Source organism: Homo sapiens, chromosome 6 (genome assembly GCF_000001405.40).
Source record: "Homo sapiens chromosome 6, GRCh38.p14 Primary Assembly".
In the NCBI taxonomy this organism is placed as follows: domain Eukaryota; kingdom Metazoa; phylum Chordata; class Mammalia; order Primates; family Hominidae; genus Homo; species Homo sapiens.
The window spans coordinates 14116553-14138752 of NC_000006.12; the positions used below are offsets into that span (position 1 = coordinate 14116553).

At 44.9% G+C, this 22200-nt stretch overlaps 1 protein-coding gene across 3 annotated transcripts, besides 14 other annotated features; it reads left to right on the forward strand.

Annotated features, from left to right (window-relative positions):
- Window positions 546–840: a silencer, noted in NCBI's record as "tiled region #13983; K562 Repressive DNase unmatched - State 1:Tss". NCBI's record gives its function as "represses a minimal TATA promoter and a strong SV40 promoter by Sharpr-MPRA in K562 cells {active_cell/tissue: K562}" and the evidence as "EXISTENCE:reporter gene assay evidence [ECO:0000049][PMID:27701403]".
- Window positions 546–1647: a biological region, named in NCBI's record as "CRISPRi-FlowFISH-validated CD83 regulatory elements GRCh37_chr6:14117366-14118274 to GRCh37_chr6:14117614-14118430". NCBI's record gives its function as "regulatory_interactions: CD83".
- Window positions 583–1491: a transcriptional cis regulatory region, noted in NCBI's record as "chr6:14117366-14118274 region (GRCh37/hg19 assembly coordinates) targeted for CRISPR interference". NCBI's record gives its function as "positively regulates CD83 gene expression in Jurkat T cells {active_cell/tissue: Jurkat}" and the evidence as "EXISTENCE:mutant phenotype evidence [ECO:0000015][PMID:33828297]".
- Window positions 704–20366, forward strand: CD83 (CD83 molecule). Of its 3 annotated transcripts, none has more exons than NM_001251901.1 (5): window positions 704–747; window positions 1398–1513; window positions 14968–15196; window positions 17097–17203; window positions 18556–20366. In NM_001251901.1, exons 3-5 carry the CDS (start codon window positions 14992–14994, stop codon window positions 18682–18684), a joined length of 441 nt encoding a protein of 146 aa, NP_001238830.1. In that variant the 5' UTR covers window positions 704–747; window positions 1398–1513; window positions 14968–14991; the 3' UTR covers window positions 18685–20366. The 3 variants fall into 3 exon arrangements, with proteins under 3 accessions (NP_001238830.1, NP_004224.1, NP_001035370.1); NM_004233.4 differs by lacking the exon at window positions 704–747 and adding an exon at window positions 1220–1296 and having other exon boundaries at window positions 18556–20354; NM_001040280.3 differs by lacking the exon at window positions 704–747 and adding an exon at window positions 1220–1296 and having other exon boundaries at window positions 18559–20331.
- Window positions 831–1486: a transcriptional cis regulatory region, noted in NCBI's record as "chr6:14117614-14118269 region (GRCh37/hg19 assembly coordinates) targeted for CRISPR interference". NCBI's record gives its function as "positively regulates CD83 gene expression in anti-CD3- and PMA-stimulated Jurkat T cells {active_cell/tissue: Jurkat(+anti-CD3 and PMA for 4hr)}" and the evidence as "EXISTENCE:mutant phenotype evidence [ECO:0000015][PMID:33828297]".
- Window positions 831–1647: a transcriptional cis regulatory region, noted in NCBI's record as "chr6:14117614-14118430 region (GRCh37/hg19 assembly coordinates) targeted for CRISPR interference". NCBI's record gives its function as "positively regulates CD83 gene expression in GM12878 lymphoblastoid cells {active_cell/tissue: GM12878}" and the evidence as "EXISTENCE:mutant phenotype evidence [ECO:0000015][PMID:33828297]".
- Window positions 968–1087: a silencer, noted in NCBI's record as "silent region_16942". NCBI's record gives its function as "represses an Ori minimal core promoter by ATAC-STARR-seq in GM12878 lymphoblastoid cells {active_cell/tissue: GM12878}" and the evidence as "EXISTENCE:reporter gene assay evidence [ECO:0000049][PMID:35858748]".
- Window positions 1652–2152: a transcriptional cis regulatory region, noted in NCBI's record as "chr6:14118435-14118935 region (GRCh37/hg19 assembly coordinates) targeted for CRISPR interference". NCBI's record gives its function as "positively regulates CD83 gene expression in anti-CD3- and PMA-stimulated Jurkat T cells {active_cell/tissue: Jurkat(+anti-CD3 and PMA for 4hr)}" and the evidence as "EXISTENCE:mutant phenotype evidence [ECO:0000015][PMID:33828297]".
- Window positions 1652–2549: a biological region, named in NCBI's record as "CRISPRi-FlowFISH-validated CD83 regulatory elements GRCh37_chr6:14118435-14118935 to GRCh37_chr6:14118800-14119300". NCBI's record gives its function as "regulatory_interactions: CD83".
- Window positions 1723–2549: a transcriptional cis regulatory region, noted in NCBI's record as "chr6:14118506-14119332 region (GRCh37/hg19 assembly coordinates) targeted for CRISPR interference". NCBI's record gives its function as "positively regulates CD83 gene expression in GM12878 lymphoblastoid cells {active_cell/tissue: GM12878}" and the evidence as "EXISTENCE:mutant phenotype evidence [ECO:0000015][PMID:33828297]".
- Window positions 2017–2517: a transcriptional cis regulatory region, noted in NCBI's record as "chr6:14118800-14119300 region (GRCh37/hg19 assembly coordinates) targeted for CRISPR interference". NCBI's record gives its function as "positively regulates CD83 gene expression in Jurkat T cells {active_cell/tissue: Jurkat}" and the evidence as "EXISTENCE:mutant phenotype evidence [ECO:0000015][PMID:33828297]".
- Window positions 5313–5372: an enhancer, noted in NCBI's record as "active region_24046". NCBI's record gives its function as "activates an Ori minimal core promoter by ATAC-STARR-seq in GM12878 lymphoblastoid cells {active_cell/tissue: GM12878}" and the evidence as "EXISTENCE:reporter gene assay evidence [ECO:0000049][PMID:35858748]".
- Window positions 5393–5722: an enhancer, noted in NCBI's record as "active region_24047". NCBI's record gives its function as "activates an Ori minimal core promoter by ATAC-STARR-seq in GM12878 lymphoblastoid cells {active_cell/tissue: GM12878}" and the evidence as "EXISTENCE:reporter gene assay evidence [ECO:0000049][PMID:35858748]".
- Window positions 11991–12589: an enhancer, noted in NCBI's record as "H3K27ac-H3K4me1 hESC enhancer chr6:14128774-14129372 (GRCh37/hg19 assembly coordinates)". NCBI's record gives its function as "activates a minimal SCP1, AML or CMV promoter by ChIP-STARR-seq in naive H9 embryonic stem cells {active_cell/tissue: H9 hESC(naive)}" and the evidence as "EXISTENCE:reporter gene assay evidence [ECO:0000049][PMID:30033119]".
- Window positions 13220–13269: an enhancer, noted in NCBI's record as "active region_24048". NCBI's record gives its function as "activates an Ori minimal core promoter by ATAC-STARR-seq in GM12878 lymphoblastoid cells {active_cell/tissue: GM12878}" and the evidence as "EXISTENCE:reporter gene assay evidence [ECO:0000049][PMID:35858748]".

Here is a 22200-nt window from a genome sequence, read left to right on the forward strand (position 1 = left end):
AGTTTGTGTTGGCAAACAGGCACTCTCTTTGCAGATGGGAATATAGATTGAAGACACCTCCTTGCAGGTAATTTTTTGGCAATATTTGACAAAATTGGAAACTCCCCTTCACCTAGCACAATTTCCTTGAGGTATTTATTCTAAGAAAATAAGCAATTTTAGAGCAAAGATTTATCTACACTGAAGTTTCCCATAGCAATCACAGTATTGTTTCTAATATTAGTAATACAAAAAGAAACAACCTGTATGTCTAACACTAATCGATTCTAATTTATGGTGCAACTGAACAATGGACCAAAATGATGCTGTTGGAAGTTTTTAATGATGTGGAACCGCTTGCAAATTATTAAGCTAAAAGAAAGTAGGTTACAAGATAGCAGGAAGAATAAACCATTAAAAATACCAATCTGTGCACTGACAAATGTTATAAATATTTTACGTTATGTTATGTTATAAACATTTTATAATATAAAAAAATGTTAACTGAAGTTACTTCCTGGATGAATTACAGGTGATTTCATTGTCTTCTAGAATTTTCTTTTCCAAAAATGTTGTGTATGCGTGTAATTATTATTTTAATAGGAGACACTCTCCTTTGGTGATATAATTTAAACAGGACGGTACTGACTGATAACCTCCCGGGGAAGGCAGGGAGCCAAGTACTACAGACTTGTATGTTTCCATGGAAATCTAACGCGCCTTTGATTATCACAGATTCTGGAGAAGAGTGAGGACTTGGGTTCACCAGTGCGTTCCCAAGGACAGGCTGGGCTTCTGAGGAAGTTGCCCACCCTCTCGGAATCTGGTTTGGCCTCCGTAAAATGGGCAGATCCCGCTCGGATGGCCCGGTTCCCGGCTTCCTTTTGCGGGTCAACGGCAGCGTCACGCGCGCGAGCGCGGTCTGCAAAGCCCCCAGCGCTGGGCGTCACGCGGGGATTGCTGTCGCCGCTGCCAGCCGCAGCAGCGACGCGAACTCGGGGCGCCCGGCCCGGGCGCGCGGGGGCGGGGACGCGCACGCGGCGAGGGCGGCGGGTGCGACGGGGGCGGGGACGGGGGCGGGGACGGGGGCGAAGGGGGCGGGGACGGGGGCGCCCCGGCCTAAGCGGGACTAGGAGGGCGCGCCACCCGCTTCCGCTGCCCGCCGGGGAATCCCCCGGGCTGGCGCGCAGGGAAGTTCCCGAACGCGCGGGCATAAAAGGGCAGCCGGCGCCCGCGCGCCACAGCTCTGCAGCTCGTGGCAGCGGCGCAGCGCTCCAGCCATGTCGCGCGGCCTCCAGCTTCTGCTCCTGAGCTGCGGTAGGGCTCGCGAGCGCCTGTCTCGCCTGTCGCCCCCCGCCCCTCCACGACACCCCCTCCCGTCGGTCGCTTGCTCACGACGCGCTCTCTCTTTCTTGTAGCCTACAGCCTGGCTCCCGCGACGCCGGAGGTGAAGGTGGCTTGCTCCGAAGATGTGGACTTGCCCTGCACCGCCCCCTGGGATCCGCAGGTTCCCTACACGGTCTCCTGGGTCAAGGTAGGTGCTGCGATACCCACGGGCTGGGGTTTGGTGGGCTCATTTGAAGACAGCAGGAACCATCTCCCCTAGGCTGGCGACCCTCTGTGGCTGCCAGGTGGGGGCGAGGGGCGTCTCCCGCAGCTGAACTTGGAGTACCCAGCCTCCCGTCGCGCCTCCCCCACCCCATCCGCATCCAGGTACAGGGCCGAATTAGGTTTTGCTCTCCGCAGACCTCAATCCCCTTCCTGTCACTGAAGGTGGCCTGAGATGAATGATCCACTTAAGATGTTTTGGAAGGGCAGAGACTCTCATTTGGATTAATTCTGGAGGCCACCTGTGGTTGTGGGCCAGCAGGTCAGGAAGAAAGCAACAGGGACCTAGATTTGGGCATTGGACAGGGGGAATGTCTCCAGACTTCTGATTTCTTGTGTTTTGTGACTGTGATGCCCATGATACATGGGAGGGGGAGGGGGCAATTTGAAAGGAAAGGCTAAGACACAGAAGTGACTTAGGCCATTTCATCCATGGTAGTTATCAGTGGTCATCTCCTTTGTGGGATACCCTTGGCTTCCTCCCCTAGCCCTCCTCCTCCTTCCTCTGGCAGCCTTGAGAGCATCAGGTGGATGCATGAGCCGGAGCCCGCATGTGTAAGAACAGGCCTTGCTGCTCCTACTGTAAGTGGACTGAGTGACAAGGAGGCTTTTTCAAGGTTTCCTCTTGACTGAAACATTCTCAGATTCTAAGATGGCAATGATGGTGTCATTCCAAAGCCAAGCAGCTACTGTTTGATATCACTGGTCCTTCTTTAAGTCAGGCCACTGCTACCACAGCACCTCCATTTTAACCCAAATGAATATGATATTACAACCTTACTCTGTAGCTCTCACTGATTTGCTGTCTTACCACGGGGGCAAATCTCTGCACTTGTAGCTTTCCCCAAAATGCAGGGCGTTCTTCTGCCCACCATAAAAGATACTATAAGAAACTGTACGTCTTTGGCCACTTAACAGTACAAGGCATCATTGCGGTGATCTCTTTGTGTGTGTGTCTCCTAACTGGATGGTCAGTTCCCTGGGGGGCAGTGGCTGTATCCATACTTCTGTGTATTCTTCACGGCACCTAATTTTTGCCCTATAAATTGCAAAGGTGCTCTGTGAATTCAGCCCAGCACTTCATGAGTTATGCATGACGGGGATGGTGCTGCTGCCTCAGAGCATTGTATTGTGTATAAAAGTAAGGTGTTAAATATTCCTACTTCATTGGTACCTTACTTACTGTGGGATCAGAGAACACAACAATTCCGAAATTGTTCTCATAGTCAAAACAATAGTATTTTTAAAAATATTGTAAAAACAATTTTTGAATGCTCACCACGTGCCAAGCTCCAAGGTAAATATTTACATACATTATCCATTTCCATCCATCGGAAGAATGGACTTAGGGATTAGTACTGTTACTATTCCTACTTTACAGGTGAGGAAACTGAGCCTTAGGGAGGGAAATAACTTGTCCACTTTTGCACAGCTAGCTAAATGGTGGAGTTGGGATTTGAACGAAGCAGTCTGATTCCAAATCCTGAGTTGTTAGAGGTCTATCTTGATCTCTGTTTTCTCCCTTAATAACTTAAGATAAAGAAAATCAAAGTGCCCCTGGGCTAACCAGGCAGGGACTTAGTTATCTCAAAGAACGGGGAAAAACATGAAACCACTATCCCTTCCAGAGAGTAACTATTTAATAAAGAAAACATTATTAATACCCCCAGGGGAGTAATTAAAAAGTACTCATGAAACAAGTAGATGAAATTTCAGGCTGTGAAGTTCAAACAGTTCTGGAGTGAAAGCTTCTTGCACAGGGTCATTTGGAATGGTCCACTAAACCATAGCAATTAACCTTGGACTTCTCCTTGGATGTCAGCTGGTGACGTAACTCGGTAACGCATGAGCTTGTTTATTGGACAGAATTCTTGCGAGATTTACCCCCAAGGTCTTTGAAAGCTCTGTCAAGAAAAAAAGGGACAGCAGTCTCTAGGCGTTCTTTTTTTCCTGTTGATCCATGGAATAGTGCCAATGAAAAGTCATACCGTAGTTATTTTTTGAGAAGTAAATGGTGATTGAGATTCGTGGGTAGGAGAGTTATGCTATACCAATAAACGAATCAGGTGCCTCGAAAGTGACATATATTGTTCCTTTAAGCATTTTTTTTAAAACAGCTCTCAGCATGTTCTGTAGATACTTATTATTTTCCAGCCCAATAATTATACTTTTTCATTGATTATGCTTATACAACAAAAATGGATAGAGTGTTCTGGAGACAAGGCCAGTGGTGAAATGCCAAAATACTTCATTTTACAGAATGTTAAGCATCTGGTCATTTTTCTATAAGTTTCTTGTAAAATGTTTCATCAAAGTGGAGGGGTAGCCACAAAGGGAGGAATTTCATTTTGGTAACCAGAACCAGCTTATCCCATCCTACTCACTTCATCATCACTACCCTGGCTTTGTAAAACCTGTTTTGCCAGCTTAGGAGGGGGCTTCATACTGGGCAAGGAAAGCAGAGTCCCTTGCAGTGGGTTTTCACCATCCACCAGATTGAAGCACATTCTGCAGGCTGTCTGCATATCATAAGTATGGTTATAATGACTCACAATTTAAAATTCTATTCACCACTCAATCCTCCGGCACCATGTAGCATCTTGCCTTTGTCCATTTGGCACTGATACTTGTAATTAACAAAAGGACCCATGTAAACCATGTGTTTTTTATCATATGCCTTTGACCAGAAAACTCAAAACAGACAGCATCCAATCTGTTTGCAACATTAGGGTTGGGAAGGAAGAGTGTTCATTCTGTTCTCTCTGTTTCAAAGATGCAGTGAGATGGGCTAGAGGGGACTTAATAGACACATGTGCAAGAGGCTAAAGGTGAAGCCAAAAGTGGACAGAGATATCCCAATTCCTGTTGGCCCAGCTCTTCTCTTCTATGGACCATGTCCTCTTAACTGGGATCCAACAAAGGGTCCTCTTCTCATCCCTTCCTCCCTTATACTTTTTAAGGCATAATGGGTGATTGAGAAGAAATAGAAAAGTTAATACATTATATTCATTAGGATAGTAGCTCAATTTAGCTTTATGTTTATTTTTTGAGACAGAGTGTCACCCTGTTTCCCAAGCTGGAGTACAGTGGCATGAAGATGGCTCACTGCAGCCTCGACTTCCTGGGCTCGAGTAATCCTCCCACCTCAGCCTCCCAAGTAGCTGAGACTACAAGGGCGTACCACCACACCTGGCTAATTTTTATGTTTTTAATTTTTTGTAGGGACAAGATTTCAATACATTGCCCAGGCTGGTCTCCAACTCCTGAGCTCAAGCCATCCTCCCACTTCAGCCTCCCAAAGTGCTAGGATTACAGGCATGAGCCAATCGATTTATCTTTTAAAGTTGTAATAGACTGGGTGTGGTGGCTGAGGCTTATGCCTGTAATCCCAGCATTTTGGGAGGCGAAGATGGGAGGATCACTTGAGCCCAGGAGTTTGAGGCCAGCCTGGGCAATGCAGTGAGACCTGTCTCTACCAAAAAAAAAAAAAAAAAAAAAAAAAGTTGTAATAGATGTGGTTCTTTGAGGAGGTATTTTGAGAAAATATGCAAATAGACTTTGATCCATGACTTTTCTTCCACTGGCCATGACCTGTGATTAAATTCCAGCATAAAAGGGCATAGCACAATATCATGTCTGTGAGGAGTAAAGCCATGCATTAAAGGGCTGCATGTGGACTTCATGAAAAGCGTCGCTGTGTCTACACTCTCTTTAATGTAGGTTTGGAGAGAGAGGATGACTTTGGTTGGAGTACTTTGGGCCTGGTTGATAATCACTAAAGATAGTAATGAGTGATCATTTATCCCAGAGTTGCAATGCCTTCTTGTATCATGCTAGGAGCCCTGACAGCCTATGGGTGATGCAAAACGAAAGAGGATATATGGTGTCATCTCTGGGTGATGCTGCGGGGGTGAGGAGAGTGAAGCATCACAAGACAAGTGCCCTTTTCAGATGATTTCCAAAGGAAGGGAGAAAAGGGAAGTAAGAGTGTGACTTCATATAAAAGTCTACTATAAATAGACTTTATAATATTGAGAAGAGCCCCAGCTGGGGCAGATCATGGGCCATCCATGGAGTGTTCTGCTTCTGACATTAACACTAAGGAAACTGTTGGAGAGCAGGTTAATGGCTTGCGTGAGGCCACTTCAAAAGTTCAAGGCTGTCTTCCGTGTATGTTGCTAAACTTCTTTTTGGTGGAGTTATGTTTTCTGTCTCTACCATCTTGTGTGATAATGAGCTACAAAACCAGGGATACTGAGGAGAGCAGAGTGCCTTAGGAGGGCCTAGAGTTGATAAGCGGTTGGGGCAGATGTAATCTGTACAGCCAGAGACCTTCATAGCCCATGGAAGGAGCCAGTACTGAACACTTACTGTGCTTCCTTGATTCCAGAATGATTCTGTTGTAAGGTGGATTTAAGAACATGTTTTAGGACAAAAAGGAAACATTTCTACATTAAATGTAGAACCATTGAATTATGAAAACAATGTATGTTAGAATTAAAAAAAAAAAATCGTACTGTCCCCATTGGCACCTATAGTACTTGACCTGGTTGAATCACTTTTATGGGCTCCTCCCTAGGTCAAACCATGAAAGATGTAAAGTTGCTTTTCAGATGTCTCTCATATTTACACTTTCATTGTTTAGTAGATACTTCTAAGTCCCAAATGTGTGCCCCATCCTGGGCCTGGCATTGGCCATCTCAGGATCAATGTAGAACTTTTGCCAGAGGACCATCTTGAGCAAAGGCCTGGGAATCCACTAAGACTTTTTGGGAACCATTGAGGTAACCAGTGATGTAGAAGGGAGACTTAAACAGCAGATATGGCTGAGAGATAACATTAGAAAGTAGGCTAGAGACAGATTGTGAGGGGCCTTGAATGCCCAGCAACAATGACTTGACCTTTATCCTTTTGGCAGTAAGGAGCCATTGAAGGATTTTTTGTTTGTTTGTTTGTTTTTGTTTTTTTTTTTTTTGAGACAGAGTTTTGCTCTTGTCGCCCAGGCTGGAATACTGTGGTGTGATCTCAGCTCACTGCAACCCCCTCTTCCAAGGTTCAAGCGATTCCCCTGCCTTAGCCTCCTGAGTAGCTGGGATTACAGGTGCCCACCACCATGCCCGGCTACTTTTTTGTATTTTTAGTAGAGACAGGGTTTCACCATGTTGGCCAGGCTGGTCTCGAGCTCCTGACCTCAGGTGATCCACCTGCCTCAGCCTCCCAAAGTGCTGGGATTACAGGCGTAAGCCACCACGCCCGGCCTCACTGAAGGATTTTAAGCAAAGACAATGGCATAATGCAAAATATGCCTAAAGCAAAGCATATTTCTCCTGGTGTTGGATAGAATATGATTCATCTTAGAAGATGAGTCTCAGAGGGAGACTTCATTCTTTTCCTTCTTTTCCTCTTGGTCACCAGTCCTGTCCATGTAGTTCTGCGGAGGAGTGGGCAAGGAAGAATGAGGCCGCCTCTGAGTGGCTATAGAAGAAGTCTCATCTAGATGAGAATGGTGGATCACTGAGATTTTTGGACAATAGTGGAACAGAGCACAAGTTGCCAAAATCTTTTAGCTTGATAATGGGGAGGGAGGAAGAAAGCAGCTGAGAGTTAAATTGAAAAAAAAAAAAAAAAAAGCTAAACAAAAAAACCAACTTGTTTTCCATTAATAAAAGGGGGAACCTGAGTCACATGAGGACTGGATTGTCTTAGCTACGTACTTGGCAATGTCACTACACAAAGAAGAGGAAGTTTGGAGAAGGTCTCAGTGACATAAGGGAAAGTTTTATGTAGGGCAAGACTAAAAGCAGATTGATTACCTAAAAAAAGTTTCCTCCCTCTAAAGATGTTTCCGTAATCCCTTCCTGGCTACTCCTGGAATAACCCTAAATTTTGTATCAACAATCATTAGCTCAAAATAGAGCTGGGCAGAAAATACTTCCCTAAGATTCTTTTATACTCATAAGCATGTTTTTGTTTTTCATTTTGTTTTGTTTTGCACTGAGGTGTATTTGGGTAAAATTTCCGTGTGTGTCATGTGGGACTAGTACAGACTTGGGAGCCCAAGGCTTGTTAATATCACTTGATGCTTTCTTGGAGGACCAGTCTACTGCATATCCCAAATTGGGACAATTTGGAGAAGTGTTCCAGTTCTTAGCTTCCAGTGGTTGCCAGCAGTCCTCGGGGTTACCGATTAGAATCGGTATTACCGATAGAATTGAGGTTACCGATTCTAGAAGAGCTGGTAGCTGCCTAGGATTATGGGTCCACATAGGGAAAACCTTTAGGAAAAGAAGGATGCTGGTTTCCATAAACAGTTCATAATCACCTTGGACCAGCAGTTCTGGAGAACAGAGGTTCTGATTCAAATCAGGCCTTGAGGTCTCATTCCCCAAGGAGTGGGAGGCATGTAAGCCCAGGGGACAAAGCAGGACTGGCCTCGAGGCTGGAGCCATGTGCCAATAGCCCCCTACGTACCAACCTTATTTACATGGTGGTGCGGGGTGCCTTATCATTAGGAGTCTTTCAGTTGTGAGGGATTGTAAATCCAATCAAAACTAGCCTAAAGAGAAGGAAATATATTGGCTTATATATAATTGGAATGGGAAAAAATTGAAAAATCAAAATACAGTTCACATTTCAGTTATGGATGGCGTTGTGGCTTGAATTGTGCCCCCCCCAAAAGATCAGAAGTTCTAATTTCTGATGCTTGTGATTGTGACTTTATTTTGAAATAGAGTCTTTGCAAATGTAATCAAATTGAGATGAGGTGCTACCTGACTAGGGTGGGCCCTACTTCAGTATGAATGATGTCCTGATAGGAGAAAACACACACTGACACAGACAACAGGGAGAAAGCTATTTGAAGACAGACACAGGGATTGGAGTGATGTGTCTACAAGCCAAGCAACGCCGAGGACTGCTGGCAACCACTAGAAGCTAAGAGAAAGGCACAGAACAGATTCTCCCCTAAAGCCTTCAGAGAGCTTGGCCCTGGCAACACCTTGATTTTGGACTTCTGGCCTCCTGAACTGTGAGAGAATACATTTCTATTGTTTCAGCCACCCAGTTTGTGGTGCTCTGCAGCCCTGGCAAATGAATATAGCTAGGCTTAGAGGTTCATGAATGTCCCCAGGACTTGGTGACTTTCCATCTGTCAACTCTGCCTTCCTTTACATTGGTTCTGTGTCCAACCTCTACATAGCAGCCAGATCACAGCCAGTAACTACAGAGTTGGACAAGTTGCACATCCTTTATCTGAAATGCCTGGGAGCAGAAGTGTTTCAGATTTTTGGATTAGGGATGCTCAACCTGTATATCCTTCCAGAAGCAAGTGCAAAGGAGAAGGTTGTGTTTCTCTTCAAATATCTCAACTTATGTCTGATTATTCTCAAGGGACTTTGACTGGGTCACGTGCCTATCAGAGCCAGTCTCCATGATCGTGGGGTACCAGGCCTGAGTTAAGTTGCCTCCTCTAGAACCTAGGTGTGGAGTTCTTCAGAGGACATGAACTCAGAGCTTGTAATGGTACCTCTTCCAGGTCCAGCAGGCCCCACGGGATGCTAATAGAAGAGAGATGATTGGCATGAACAATGAAGGGTCCAACATTGCCTTCAAATCTCAGTTCCAAAGGGGTTTTGATACATTATTATGATGGTGCTTTAAAAAATACAGAATGTTGTGGATATTTTGAAGACATCATATGTGGAAAAAACAGTTTCTCCCTAGAGCAGAGATTGGGACTTCTAGGACAACTTTCCCAGAGGAGACGGGAAGTGTCAGTGGTAAGGAAATGACAGAGTGGGTGGATGGTGTGGAAAGCTATCACAGACAAGAATAATTTCTATTACCAGCATTACCAATTATACAGCACTTTTCTTGTTTTCTCACTTGATTTTATAATAACCCCATGAGCAAGTAAGGGAGCTCCAGATCACGAAATGGGGCTCAGAGGTGAAGTGACATATGGAAGATGACCCAGCTAACACATGGAGAAACTGGGATTGACTTCAGACCTTTGATTCCAAAGCTAGTGCTCTTGTAACTTTCTCACTCTTTCTAAAATTCACGCATTCATTCAGTAAATACTTTTTCAATACGTCTTATATTCAGGGAACTATTTAGTATGCAGAATGAAACCTTGGTTATAAAAAAAAGGAGAGAGAGAGAGTAGTAACATCTTCAGGGCTTTCTGTGTGATCGATATGATGCTTAGGGTCTGTATACATCATCATAAGTATCTTCACGCCAGCTCAGTGAGATGTGATCACCCCCAGATTCCAGTGGAGCTATCCAAGCCTGAGAGTGGTTCAGTCAGTTGGCCAAGAGCAGAGGTAGCCGTGGGAGGGCTGGGGTTTGGTTCCAGCTCAGTCCAATGCCAATGCCTGTGCTCTTAATTATGTTGCCTCTGCTATACTCATAACTCTGTTAACAGCCATAAATCCAGCTCTGTCTGTTAGACCCAGTAAATTTCAAAGTAGAAAATCATTTTTCTAATAAAACTACGCATAGAAAAAAAGATATTAATGCTCATACATTCTACCCTCATTATGACATCAACCTCTGAGCCAAACTATTTTGCACATTATAAAGAGCTGTTTTTATGATGAATGGGAATTATATTGGCACTTTAATTGAGTTAGAAACCAAGGTACATGAATGTTAGTGCACAAGAAATGCGATAAAAAAAGCTGCTCAATGTGGTTGGAATACATCAGATTAATTTAATACCAACTTTAAATCCTTACAATCTATACCCTTAAATATGTTTTATCAAATTATTAGATGAAATTTTTATACTGTTTTTTTTTCTTTTAGGTAGGTACCTATTGCACATTCCCCCCACCCCTGCTTTTATTTTTTTATTTTTTTTTAAGACGGAGTCATGCTCTGTCACCCAGGCTGGAGCGCAATGGCACAATCTTGGCTCACTGCAACCTTCGCCTCCTGGGTTCAAGCGATTCTCCTGCCTCAGCCTCCCAAGTAGCTGGAATTACAGATGTCCACTACCACGCCCAGCTAATATTTTGTATTTGTGGTGGAGATGTGGTTTCACCATGTTGGCAAGGCTGGTCTTGAACTCCTGACCTCATGTGATCCACCTGCCTCAGCCTCCCAAAGTGCTGGGATTACAGGCATGAGCCACCGTGCCTGGCCCTGCATTCTTAACAAATCTGCTATATGATAAATTTAGATTTCAATTTTGTGATCAAAACTCTTTTTTTGCTATAAAATGAAACTATTGCCCTCTTAGCTTCAAATATGGTAATGTAGGAGGTTGGCATATATTTGGATAAAATTATGTAAACTTAAAAAAAAACACTTTCCACAATAGGATGTTTTAATATTGGTTCAGTTTCAGCCATAATTAATGATTTATTTTATGTCTTTTGTTTTAGTTCAAATTAGTTCATCATTAAAAAAAAAAAACTGACTCCATTCACGTGCCCATACAATTAGTACTTGTGTTTGCTTGATTTAGCATTCTGCAAATGAAAGAGAGTTTGTTTTAATTTAGGGCCTGTGCTTTCCTTAAGGTCAAATCTCCATTTGAGAGAAAGAATATGGTATTTAAATAATTTAGTCAAATTGGAGGCCTTGAGACAAGTCAGAGTCCCCAGGCTTTCTGAAAATGAGATGTCCCACGTTTGCACTTTTCCAGCCCAACCAAAAATGATAGAGTTGTCAGCATAAAAGTTAATGTACAACATGTGGATTTTTAAAACATGATTGGGATGAGTGTTTTGAGTAATTAATTTGCTGAAATTGTGTTGTGCTTTAGCGCACTGTACTACAATATTAGCATTGTGAAGCGTGCATTAAATAGTTCCTGTCAATTATGGTTGGCTGTGAATGAATCTGAGGGTTCCTTTTGTTATAAATTACTATTTCCTAAAATGGTTTTGCAGAGAAGCAATGGAACACTTTTAGATTTGGAATGTTTAAAGAGCTGTTCTTGCCAGTGGTTGATTTTGAGTGAGCTCCAATGTTTATGAGAACTCATAAAACAAAGCAAAGTGGGGATGGCCCATTTGCTGTTACTCCGTTTTCCTCCCACTGAAATTTCCCTCCAGTTTTTGGTGGTGCCTCTGCCACAGTTAGCTCATCTGATAAAGCAGGGTGATAGCTGCCTGGCCACGTATCTGATGATAATGATATGAGCTTTTGCATACGGTCCCTTGATCCTGCTAGGGCCCCACCCCCATTCTGAGCATGCAACATTAACATAAAAACTACCACGCCTTTTGCAGCTGTGGATAAACCCCAAATTCCACAGCTGGGGGTCACAAGAGAAAGTTTAGCTGAAAATGTATATACCTAAAACTGGAAGTTAGAGGGAGGGTTATGAAATATTTCCAGGTGCAATGTATGAATTTACAGGGAATTCTTTTTGCTGTAGTTAGTTATTAGGCAAACAGCGCTGTTCATTGGTTTGGCAAGAGTTCCTAGGTTTTGCGGATAGTTCTCTGGGTCATTTAGGAAAAGGGGTGTTTGGAAGATGACCCTGTGAGAGTTGAGATATTTTGCCATGATCCCACTGGTGGCAGCACATCAGAATTCTGCAGGTCGCTTTGAGGTTCTTTGTTTTGCCTTCTCCCTTGATTCTTCCTTCTGTTCTTATGGCTCACCCTGCCTTTGTTTTGCCATTTAAAAATAACTAGCGGCCCACTGACGGTTTTGCCAGAGGCCCTTGGAAATCTAACCGTCAAATAAATTTTATTGGTGTTGCTGCTGATTTTTAAAATGAATTCTCTGCAAATAGGCAGAAGTTACTGCCAGCCAGTTTTGATCACCAGCACCTTTTTGCTTCAACAGTTCCCAGCAGCTAACACAATAATGGGGCCATCTTTATGTAAATAGACACAATAGTTTATGTTTCTACCAGCTCCAGAGGGGTTCACAGTGTTGATCTTGACTTTCAGATGGGCCTTTCTGAGCTGAGGGAGGGGTTGCTGGATGGGAGAGGAGCTTCCCAGGAGAAAACCATGGGTGAATAATCTCAAAACGGTTGTTGCAGCTACACTCGCATTTGGAGGTTAATTTAGAAAAAGAAAAGCAAGATTGGACATCGGAATGGGGACTGCAGGGACTGGGCCGAGCTAATTATTTCAAACTGGCCTTTCAGGCCATCCTAGACACAGATTGGCCCTGGATGGGCCTCGGTCTCTGGTCTCTTGAAAGCCCTTGCCTGGTAGGAAGAAGCCGCTCTGCCAGGCAGCGGAAGGGAGAGGCAAGCAGTGTGAGCCCATGACGAGGCTTCAGTTTATGGTTTACTTAGGCTTGAAAAGGGAAAAATGGTGCTAAATTAGATGTGTTCTGGAATCAGATGGACACTGTTAGTTTCCTCTAAATTTCCTTGGCCCCACCTCCTTTTTGTGCTTTATTTTTGCACACCTATGGGCCCCAGTCTTTTAGCTTCCTCCCATAGATTCTTGATTATTTAGGAAGGAATCTTTCCACACAAAAAGGACCATCAAGAAATGGGATTTATGTCCGCAGACTCGGCCTGAGAAGAGCCGTTCATCTCAGCTCAGGGCTGGGAGGGAGCTGAGCAGGTTTTCTTGCAGGAGCGATCAATCTGCCACCAGATGTCTCTGTAGCCCACTCTACAGGAATGCTCACAAACACCAGGGCTGGAGCCTGAGCTTTCCGGTGACCTTGTGGTATATGCTCTGAATTAATAAATGAAGCAGAAATGACTGTGTGTGTGTGTGTGTGTGTGTGTGTGTGTATACGAGTGCACACGTGCCCATGTGTATGTATTTTCTTTCCTGAGTTGCTTCTCAGAGTATTCCCCTAACTCCTTGGTTATCTCTTTCCCTACACTGAGTTCCTTCCTAAAAGTCAGAGAAGAGTTGTAGGGTGCTCCCAGAACGGGAGATTCATCATTGATAGGTGCAAGCAAAGACAGTGGCAGTGGGCCCTGATAATCTCTGTCTCCTTCCCTAAGGTGGCTCTTGGGTGCAGTTATCATGCTAGGGACAGGTAAGGAATGTCACTTAATCCTGGGCTCCCTGCTGGTCCCCAGCCAACCAGCAAAGGGAAACTCAGGTGCTGCTAGGGGATGTCATTGTTGAAGGGCTGCCCAGGAAGGCTGAAAACAAGGATTTGCTTTACTGCATGTGTACATTCATTTTAGAAGCTTTAAAGTATTTCAATGGAGGAGCAACTTAGCAAGTTAATTAGGCAAATTAAAAATATGTCTAGGAAAGAGAGAATTAATGGTGAATGTGGTATGAGCCTAATCTATGCAGTGGGAGATGCTGTGGACACTCCACCAGTTTGATCACAAAGAATTCACAGAAAGCAAGCCGCGCACGGTGGCTCACGCCTGTAATCCCAGAACTTTGGGAGGCCGAGGCGGGCGGATCGCTTGAGTCTGGGAGTTCAAGACCAGCTTGGGCAACAGAGCAAGACACTGCCTCTAAAAAAACAAACAAATAAAAATTAGCCAGGTGTGGTGGCACAGGCTTCTAGTCCTAGCTACTGGAGAGGCTGAGGTGGGAGTACCAGAAGGTTGACTCAGGAGGCCAAGGGTGCAGTGAGCCATGATCAAGCCAGTTCTCTCCAGCCTGGGTGATAGAGCGAGACCCTGTCTCAAAAAAGAAAAAAAGAAAGCCAGCCAGATAAAATGTCTGGCTAAATTGGGCATCTCCCCAAGTCCGGCTGGTCTGTCCTGAGTACAGTGAAGTCAGCTGTTACTGCCCTTCCATGTGGAGTTTGATATGAGCAGCAAATGATCTGACACATACACTCTCTATAAAGCATGCTTCTCAGCTGTCTCACTGCCATAGTACAGAGAAAAGGTGTGGCACATTCGGCGACGTCAGGCATGACCACACAGAGACACAGCCCTTGAGGAACAAGGTGACTGTTCGCAGGAGGCGTTGCTCATCTGCTTATCTGATTTTAGTTGAATTGTCTGGCAAGGATCATAACAGATTTAGGAATTTTTCCAAATAAAAGGCTGGGATACAAAAATAGGAATCATTCAGTGGGTGAGTTGGTATCTGAAGAAAACAAGAGAACATTTAATACAGAACAGTCCTATCTATACATGTATACATAGACACAAAATATAATCCAGCAAGATTCACACACAGCATATCACTGTCATCAACAGTGACTCTCTCTCCCTAATATAGGGTGGAAATTGGGATACTTATGATAGAATCATGAGATGTAGTCCTGATATATTCCGAAGATGTAGCCTTGGGAATTTTCATAGATCTTTCCTCCCCCAGAGGTCACACACACACAAAAGCATCACGTCTTGTTTTACAAACATAAGTTGAGGCTGGATCTTCTGAAAACAAAATGGAAACATTGGTGTCGAGTTGGAGTGCTTGCAGTGGACCGTGATGCGCTCTGATTCCTTCTTCACAGTTATTGGAGGGTGGTGAAGAGAGGATGGAGACACCCCAGGAAGACCACCTCAGGGGACAGCACTATCATCAGAAGGGGCAAAATGGTTCTTTCGACGCCCCCAATGAAAGGCCCTATTCCCTGAAGATCCGAAACACTACCAGCTGCAACTCGGGGACATACAGGTGCACTCTGCAGGACCCGGATGGGCAGAGAAACCTAAGTGGCAAGGTGATCTTGAGAGTGACAGGTGAGGTGACCTGCTGCACTTGTTTTCTTCTTGAACAATGCATGTGTACTTCCTTTAGGTCCTAAAATCGTTCCTCTCTTTTGGAGTGTAGCTCTAGAGCTTTGGATCACATCTGTGGCTGAAAGTGGAAATCCGCTGCAAGCATGTCACCATTTTCTCTTTCTGTGGCTTAAATGATGCCTTTTGTTTGACTTTTGCCCAACACTTGTTAGGGGCTGAGGGTGGAAATGATAAAAATGTGGTCACAGAGCCCCTGATTCCGTACAACCGTTGATTTCTCCTTCTGTCAGGGATCTGAAAGGAATTGGACTTCGGGTAATATTATTACACCTGCAAGAGTACAGTCCCTGTTTAAGGGGGCAGTGTGTGCTTTTTGCTTAGTGTTGTATGCACACACCTCCCTTAGGCCCTCCTGGATCTCCAGCCCTTCATCCTGGTTTCTTTGTTTCCTGGTACTTAGTACAACTGGCATGTTATGTATGGATTGATTTACTGTCTGTCTCCCCAAGAGAACAAGAACCTCTGCGTTTTCTTCTCTGATGTATCTGGGCACATAGTAGGCCCTCAATGAATATTCACCTGAATGAGAGGAACCTTGCAGAGGAGAGTGGAGAGGGCAGGCATGTCCTGCAGGGAGTGGAGAGAAAATGAAGAGAATAGCTGATTTTCTCTCCTTTTCCTCTTCCATGGCGATATTGCCTACAACTTAAGGGGTCAGAGTCTACAGTCACTTAGATCTGGCTCAAATATTAACTCTGCCTTTTGTTAGTGTGTGACCTTGAGCAAATCACGGATTGACACTAAGCCTCAGTTCTCTAATCTCTAAAATGGAAGTAACGTCTACAACATAGGCTTGTTGTGAAGGTTAAATGAGAAGTTGCGTTAAAATGCTGAGTGTAGTGCCCGGGATAGACTGAATGACCAATACATATTAGGGACCATGAGGACAATGGCTCTCATTACCCACGGCTGTGAGAATCCATCCCTCGACTGCTGCACAAAATGTCGAATCCATTTTCAGGGGTTGACATCTCTGGAGATCTAGCCATTGGCTCCAATGGCAGAACCCCCTCCGCTCACTTGCACTCCACCTGCTCCTGCCTGGGGCATCAAGCAGATTCTGTTTGCAAGCACACTATAGCCAAAGCTCAACTTGCTTCCCCAAACAGCACATTGGGTGTTGCACCTGAGTGGGGAGAGGCACCTCCCTTCATGTCTGTCCCTGGGCTAAAGGCCTCGCTGCTCTTACCCTCCCTTCGTGCTGCACCAAACCCTTTAACAGCCCTGAGGGAGTTGTTCTTCCACCCAACCATGCTGGCACCCTTGCCGAAAGAGCTTGAATGATTCTAGAAAAATCTGTTGACGTATTTGGCAATATCAGGGCAGCTCCCCTGCTTCCTTTCATAGTCCCTGAAACCTCCTGAGGTGAGGACACACCACAGTCTACCCAACAGTGATGAAGTTAAGATAATTTCTGGATTAACAAGTGGTGGTTCATCTGGTAGGAGGACAAAATAAGCCAGGAAAGGCTTGACATCCGAAGTGCAGGCAGACAGGCCGCAGGATAAGCCTGGACCAGCTGTCTGGCTCAGCCGCCTTGGTCCTTGGTCCTTGACCCTCTCTGAGCCTCGGCTCTTTCATCTGTAAAATGGGACTACTCAGGCCTGTTCTGAAGATTCGGAAAGATGCCATGTGAGAGTCGCATGCAGCCAGACACAGAGCGACAGTGCGCGCCGGCTGCTGCTGTCACCTTCACTGTCACTGTTACTGTCGTTCATCCTGATGGTGGGAAGAGGAGACAAGCAGGACTCCAGGACCAAGGAACAAAGCATTCTTAGCTTTTTTTCATGGTAGAAAAATCCTGTTAAAATGGCTTCACATGTCGCTTACTTTTTTAAAGGATGCCCTGCACAGCGTAAAGAAGAGACTTTTAAGAAATACAGAGCGGAGATTGTCCTGCTGCTGGCTCTGGTTATTTTCTACTTAACACTCATCATTTTCACTTGTGTAAGTATCTTCTTAAAACATCTTCTCTTATTAAAAGATTACCCAGGGCACCAATCCAAGTATCTCTTGCAGATAGTGCGAATCATTTAATAATGGTGAGAGAGATTATTCTTTGAACCCTGGACTTTTTGAGGCCCCTAGACTGGGAGAATCATTACAGGAAGCTCCCTGAAATATTTCCAGCTTTTGTCTAGTGGCTACGTTTAGAGCATTGTGGAAAAAAAAAACAAAGTAAGATATAGGAAGGACGTTTGGGAAATGACAAGGGGTTCTATGCAAGAGCAGAGGCCCTGTAGGCGCAGTGCTAGAAGTTGCAGCGCTGAGGGTCCCCCATCCCAGAGCAGAGGCCCCGCTCTTCCTGTGGGTGAGGGAGTGGGCCCCACTGCCCCAGGGATGCCAGGGGATAGATCAGCCTCCTTTGGCTGCCTTCAAACTATTTCTCGTGGGGGTTCTCCCCTTCTATTTTTGGTATTTCTGCCCATGCCTTAAGAATTAATCCCAAGAAGCCAGAGCAGTGAGGCACAGTGGGAGGCTTCCGGGGTGCAGGATGGCTGGCCGGTGCTCAGGCACCCTAGACATGCCCATGAGCTGTTGGTTGCAGGTTCTGGCTCAAAGCCCTCAGAGATTCTTTCTGCATGGCTGCTCACCTGTGTTGATGATGGTTGTGGGAGAGTAGGGCCACATGTGTGTCTGACCCCTCTAGGAAGTGATCTGCCCCCTTTGTCTCCATCCACCAGGCAGGGCTGGCTACCTAGGGGCCAGGACAGACTTCACCCAGGAGCTACCCCAGGACTGGTTCTTGCCACTCACTGTGTCCCTCTATTCACTTACTTGCCTCTCTGGCTGTGCACTCATCTCTCTGGTTTCTATTTTAGATACCAGTCAATCAGAGACTCCAGTGAGCACCTACTATGTTCAAGGCATTATGCTAGGCACTGTACAGGGCATAAAAAGGTGTAAGACATTGTTCCTGCCCTCAAGGAGCTTACAGTTAGGATGTTAGGGTTATTTGCGTATAAGAAGATAATTAGAGTTACCAGGCAGTATGTTTTAAACATGAATGACTTTAGCTTCTTGTTGGAAAATGCCTGCTTCTGTGGGCATTGACTTTCCATACAGAGACCTAACAGTAGGGGGTCGAAATGGCCACAATCAGTGAATCTCCTGGTCCAAGTTTAGAGACGCCAGTGAAATGGTTGGTACAAATCCCTTGTGGAGCGAGTGAGGCAGTGAGTATGAGAGCTTCCAGAATGGGTTGTCTAGCCAGCTCTTAGTGAATAGAGTTTAAAAGGAGGTGACAACTGCTGAATTTTTCCAATTATTCACTTCACATTTCTTTCATTTCTTTTTAGAAGTTTGCACGGCTACAGAGTATCTTCCCAGATTTTTCTAAAGCTGGCATGGAACGAGCTTTTCTCCCAGTTACCTCCCCAAATAAGCATTTAGGGCTAGTGACTCCTCACAAGACAGAACTGGTATGAGCAGGATTTCTGCAGGTTCTTCTTCCTGAAGCTGAGGCTCAGGGGTGTGCCTGTCTGTTACACTGGAGGAGAGAAGAATGAGCCTACGCTGAAGATGGCATCCTGTGAAGTCCTTCACCTCACTGAAAACATCTGGAAGGGGATCCCACCCCATTTTCTGTGGGCAGGCCTCGAAAACCATCACATGACCACATAGCATGAGGCCACTGCTGCTTCTCCATGGCCACCTTTTCAGCGATGTATGCAGCTATCTGGTCAACCTCCTGGACATTTTTTCAGTCATATAAAAGCTATGGTGAGATGCAGCTGGAAAAGGGTCTTGGGAAATATGAATGCCCCCAGCTGGCCCGTGACAGACTCCTGAGGACAGCTGTCCTCTTCTGCATCTTGGGGACATCTCTTTGAATTTTCTGTGTTTTGCTGTACCAGCCCAGATGTTTTACGTCTGGGAGAAATTGACAGATCAAGCTGTGAGACAGTGGGAAATATTTAGCAAATAATTTCCTGGTGTGAAGGTCCTGCTATTACTAAGGAGTAATCTGTGTACAAAGAAATAACAAGTCGATGAACTATTCCCCAGCAGGGTCTTTTCATCTGGGAAAGACATCCATAAAGAAGCAATAAAGAAGAGTGCCACATTTATTTTTATATCTATATGTACTTGTCAAAGAAGGTTTGTGTTTTTCTGCTTTTGAAATCTGTATCTGTAGTGAGATAGCATTGTGAACTGACAGGCAGCCTGGACATAGAGAGGGAGAAGAAGTCAGAGAGGGTGACAAGATAGAGAGCTATTTAATGGCCGGCTGGAAATGCTGGGCTGACGGTGCAGTCTGGGTGCTCGCCCACTTGTCCCACTATCTGGGTGCATGATCTTGAGCAAGTTCCTTCTGGTGTCTGCTTTCTCCATTGTAAACCACAAGGCTGTTGCATGGGCTAATGAAGATCATATACGTGAAAATTATTTGAAAACATATAAAGCACTATACAGATTCGAAACTCCATTGAGTCATTATCCTTGCTATGATGATGGTGTTTTGGGGATGAGAGGGTGCTATCCATTTCTCATGTTTTCCATTGTTTGAAACAAAGAAGGTTACCAAGAAGCCTTTCCTGTAGCCTTCTGTAGGAATTCTTTTGGGGAAGTGAGGAAGCCAGGTCCACGGTCTGTTCTTGAAGCAGTAGCCTAACACACTCCAAGATATGGACACACGGGAGCCGCTGGCAGAAGGGACTTCACGAAGTGTTGCATGGATGTTTTAGCCATTGTTGGCTTTCCCTTATCAAACTTGGGCCCTTCCCTTCTTGGTTTCCAAAGGCATTTTATTGCTTGAGTTATATGTTCACTGTCCCCCTAATATTAGGGAGTAAAACGGATACCAAGTTGATTTAGTGTTTTTACCTCTGTCTTGGCTTTCATGTTATTAAACGTATGCATGTGAAGAAAGGGTGTTTTTCTGTTTTATATTCAACTCATAAGACTTTGGGATAGGAAAAATGAGTAATGGTTACTAGGCTTAATACCTGGGTGATTACATAATCTGTACAATGAACCCCCATGATGTAAGTTTACCTATGTAACAAACCTGCACTTATACCCATGAACTTAAAATGAAAGTTAAAAATAAAAAACATATACAAATAAAAAAATCCCGACTTTGGGATGAGTGCTAGGATGTTGTAAACCAGTTTGAGAATCAGAATCCAAAATGAGAGCTGAAAGATTGGCTGAGTCTTTCTCGGAGGGAGGGCATGCTGGCAGACAGAGCTTTGTAAACAGCATCCTCCTTCCCAGAGATGCTTCTGCTTCCATCCTGGGGCCACGTTGCTACCCAGTACATGAGCAGCTCATACTAACATGCACGGTCATGGGTGGGCGGGATGGAGGGAGGGTTTCTGCTTCAGAAAGATGTGTAACATCAGGGGCTTTGTGCCTGGATTCATGGGTTTCACTCAAGATTCTCAAATAGGTCCCTTCCCCCCAAAATGTTAAGAACGATGTGGTCTAAGTAGTTGTAATAGTTATAAAAGCATCAGGCCAGGCACGGTGACTCATGCCTGTAATCCCAGCACTTTGGGAGGCCGAGGCAGGCGGATAACGAGGTCAGGAGATCGAGACCATCCTGGCTGACACGGTGAAACCCCGTGTCTACTAAAAATACAAAAAATTAGCCGGGCGTGGTGGCGGGTGCCTGTAGTCCCAGCTACTCAGGAGGCTGAGACAGGAGAATGGCATGAACCCTGGAGGCAGAGCTTGCAGTGAGCCGTGATTGTGCCACTGCACTGCAGCCTGGGCGACAGAGCAAGACTCCGTCTCAAAAAAAAAAAAAGCATCATAAGTGGAAGTCTCTTTACAAAGATGAATACACATAAAATGTCTCTAAAAGCTGTGGAATCACTTTCAATGGAATCAAGTCTGTTCTCAAATGCTTTACCAAAAGTGCCAGGGCATGGTAATTGAGAGTTCACAGAGCTCCTAGTCACCTGAGTGTGTAGCCCAGCTTCAAGATTTGGAAGTTATATTTCCTTGGGCAGAGGACTTACCCCTCTAAGCCTTAGCTGGCCAATCTTTAAAATAAGAATAGTATCTGCCTAATAGGTTTATTGTGAGGATTAAATAAGATAATATATAGAAGCAGTAAGCCTAGTGTGTAGCAAAAGGTAAGCCTTTGACTGATATTAGAACAAGAAAGGAGAAAAAGGTAGCAGAGAAAGTATCAGTAACCATAAATCTTTGACAAAGTGGTTTTGTTAAAAGGAATGAATTGGCTTGGTGAAGGAGTCATGCTGCTTTCAGAGGATTAATACTCAGTGTACTAAAATTCTTCGTGGCCATTAGAATTACAGTACAGGACACACCAGGAAGAAGGGTTGCCCTTTGTCAGTTTGGACTGAATTAAGCTGGAAACATGATGGAAATTTGAGAGCAGGCGGACTCAATGTTTCAGACCTAGTCTTTGGTATAAGAAAAAGTTTGTGTGTGGCGGGGCACGGTGGCTCACATCTGTAATCCCAGCACTTTGGGAGGCCAAGGCGGGCGGATAATGAGGTCAGGAGTTTGAGAGTAGCCTGGCCAGTATAGTGAAACCTGTCTCTACTAAAAACACAAAAATTGGCCAGGCGTGGCGGCGTGTGCCTGTGGTCCCAGCTACTTGGGAGGCTGAGGCAGGAGAATCACTTGAACCCGGGAGGCGGAGGTTGCAGTGAGCCGAGATCGCACCACTGCACTCCAGCCTGGGCAACAGAGTGAGACTCCATCTTAAAAAAAAAAAAAATGTGTGTGTGTGAGGCAGAGAGAGAGAGAGAGAGAGAGAGAAGGGGGTGTAGAAGAGAATGGAGGGCAGAATTTGTCAAGGAGAGTGGACTGGTCTCAACTGCCTCGATTGAGGCCTACGAAGATGTTTCAGAGGAAGGCAGATGATCATGGACCATATTTATTCTTCATCTCCATTGCCAGGGAAAGCTTTGTATTCAAGGCTGTCCCTTGTCTATGAAATTAGTTCTAGAGTTATAATAATT

Bases quoted from the DNA above. Each gene is read 5' to 3' on its own strand.
- CD83 (NM_004233.4), top strand. From the start codon at position 1,260: ATGTCGCGCGGCCTCCAGCTTCTGCTCCTGAGCTGCG. The intron at 1,297-1,397 runs GTAGGGCTCGCG...TCTTTCTTGTAG, and splicing joins GCTTCTGCTCCTGAGCTGCG to CCTACAGCCTGGCTCCCGCG. The intron at 15,197-17,096 runs GTGAGGTGACCT...ACTTTTTTAAAG, and splicing joins GGTGATCTTGAGAGTGACAG to GATGCCCTGCACAGCGTAAA.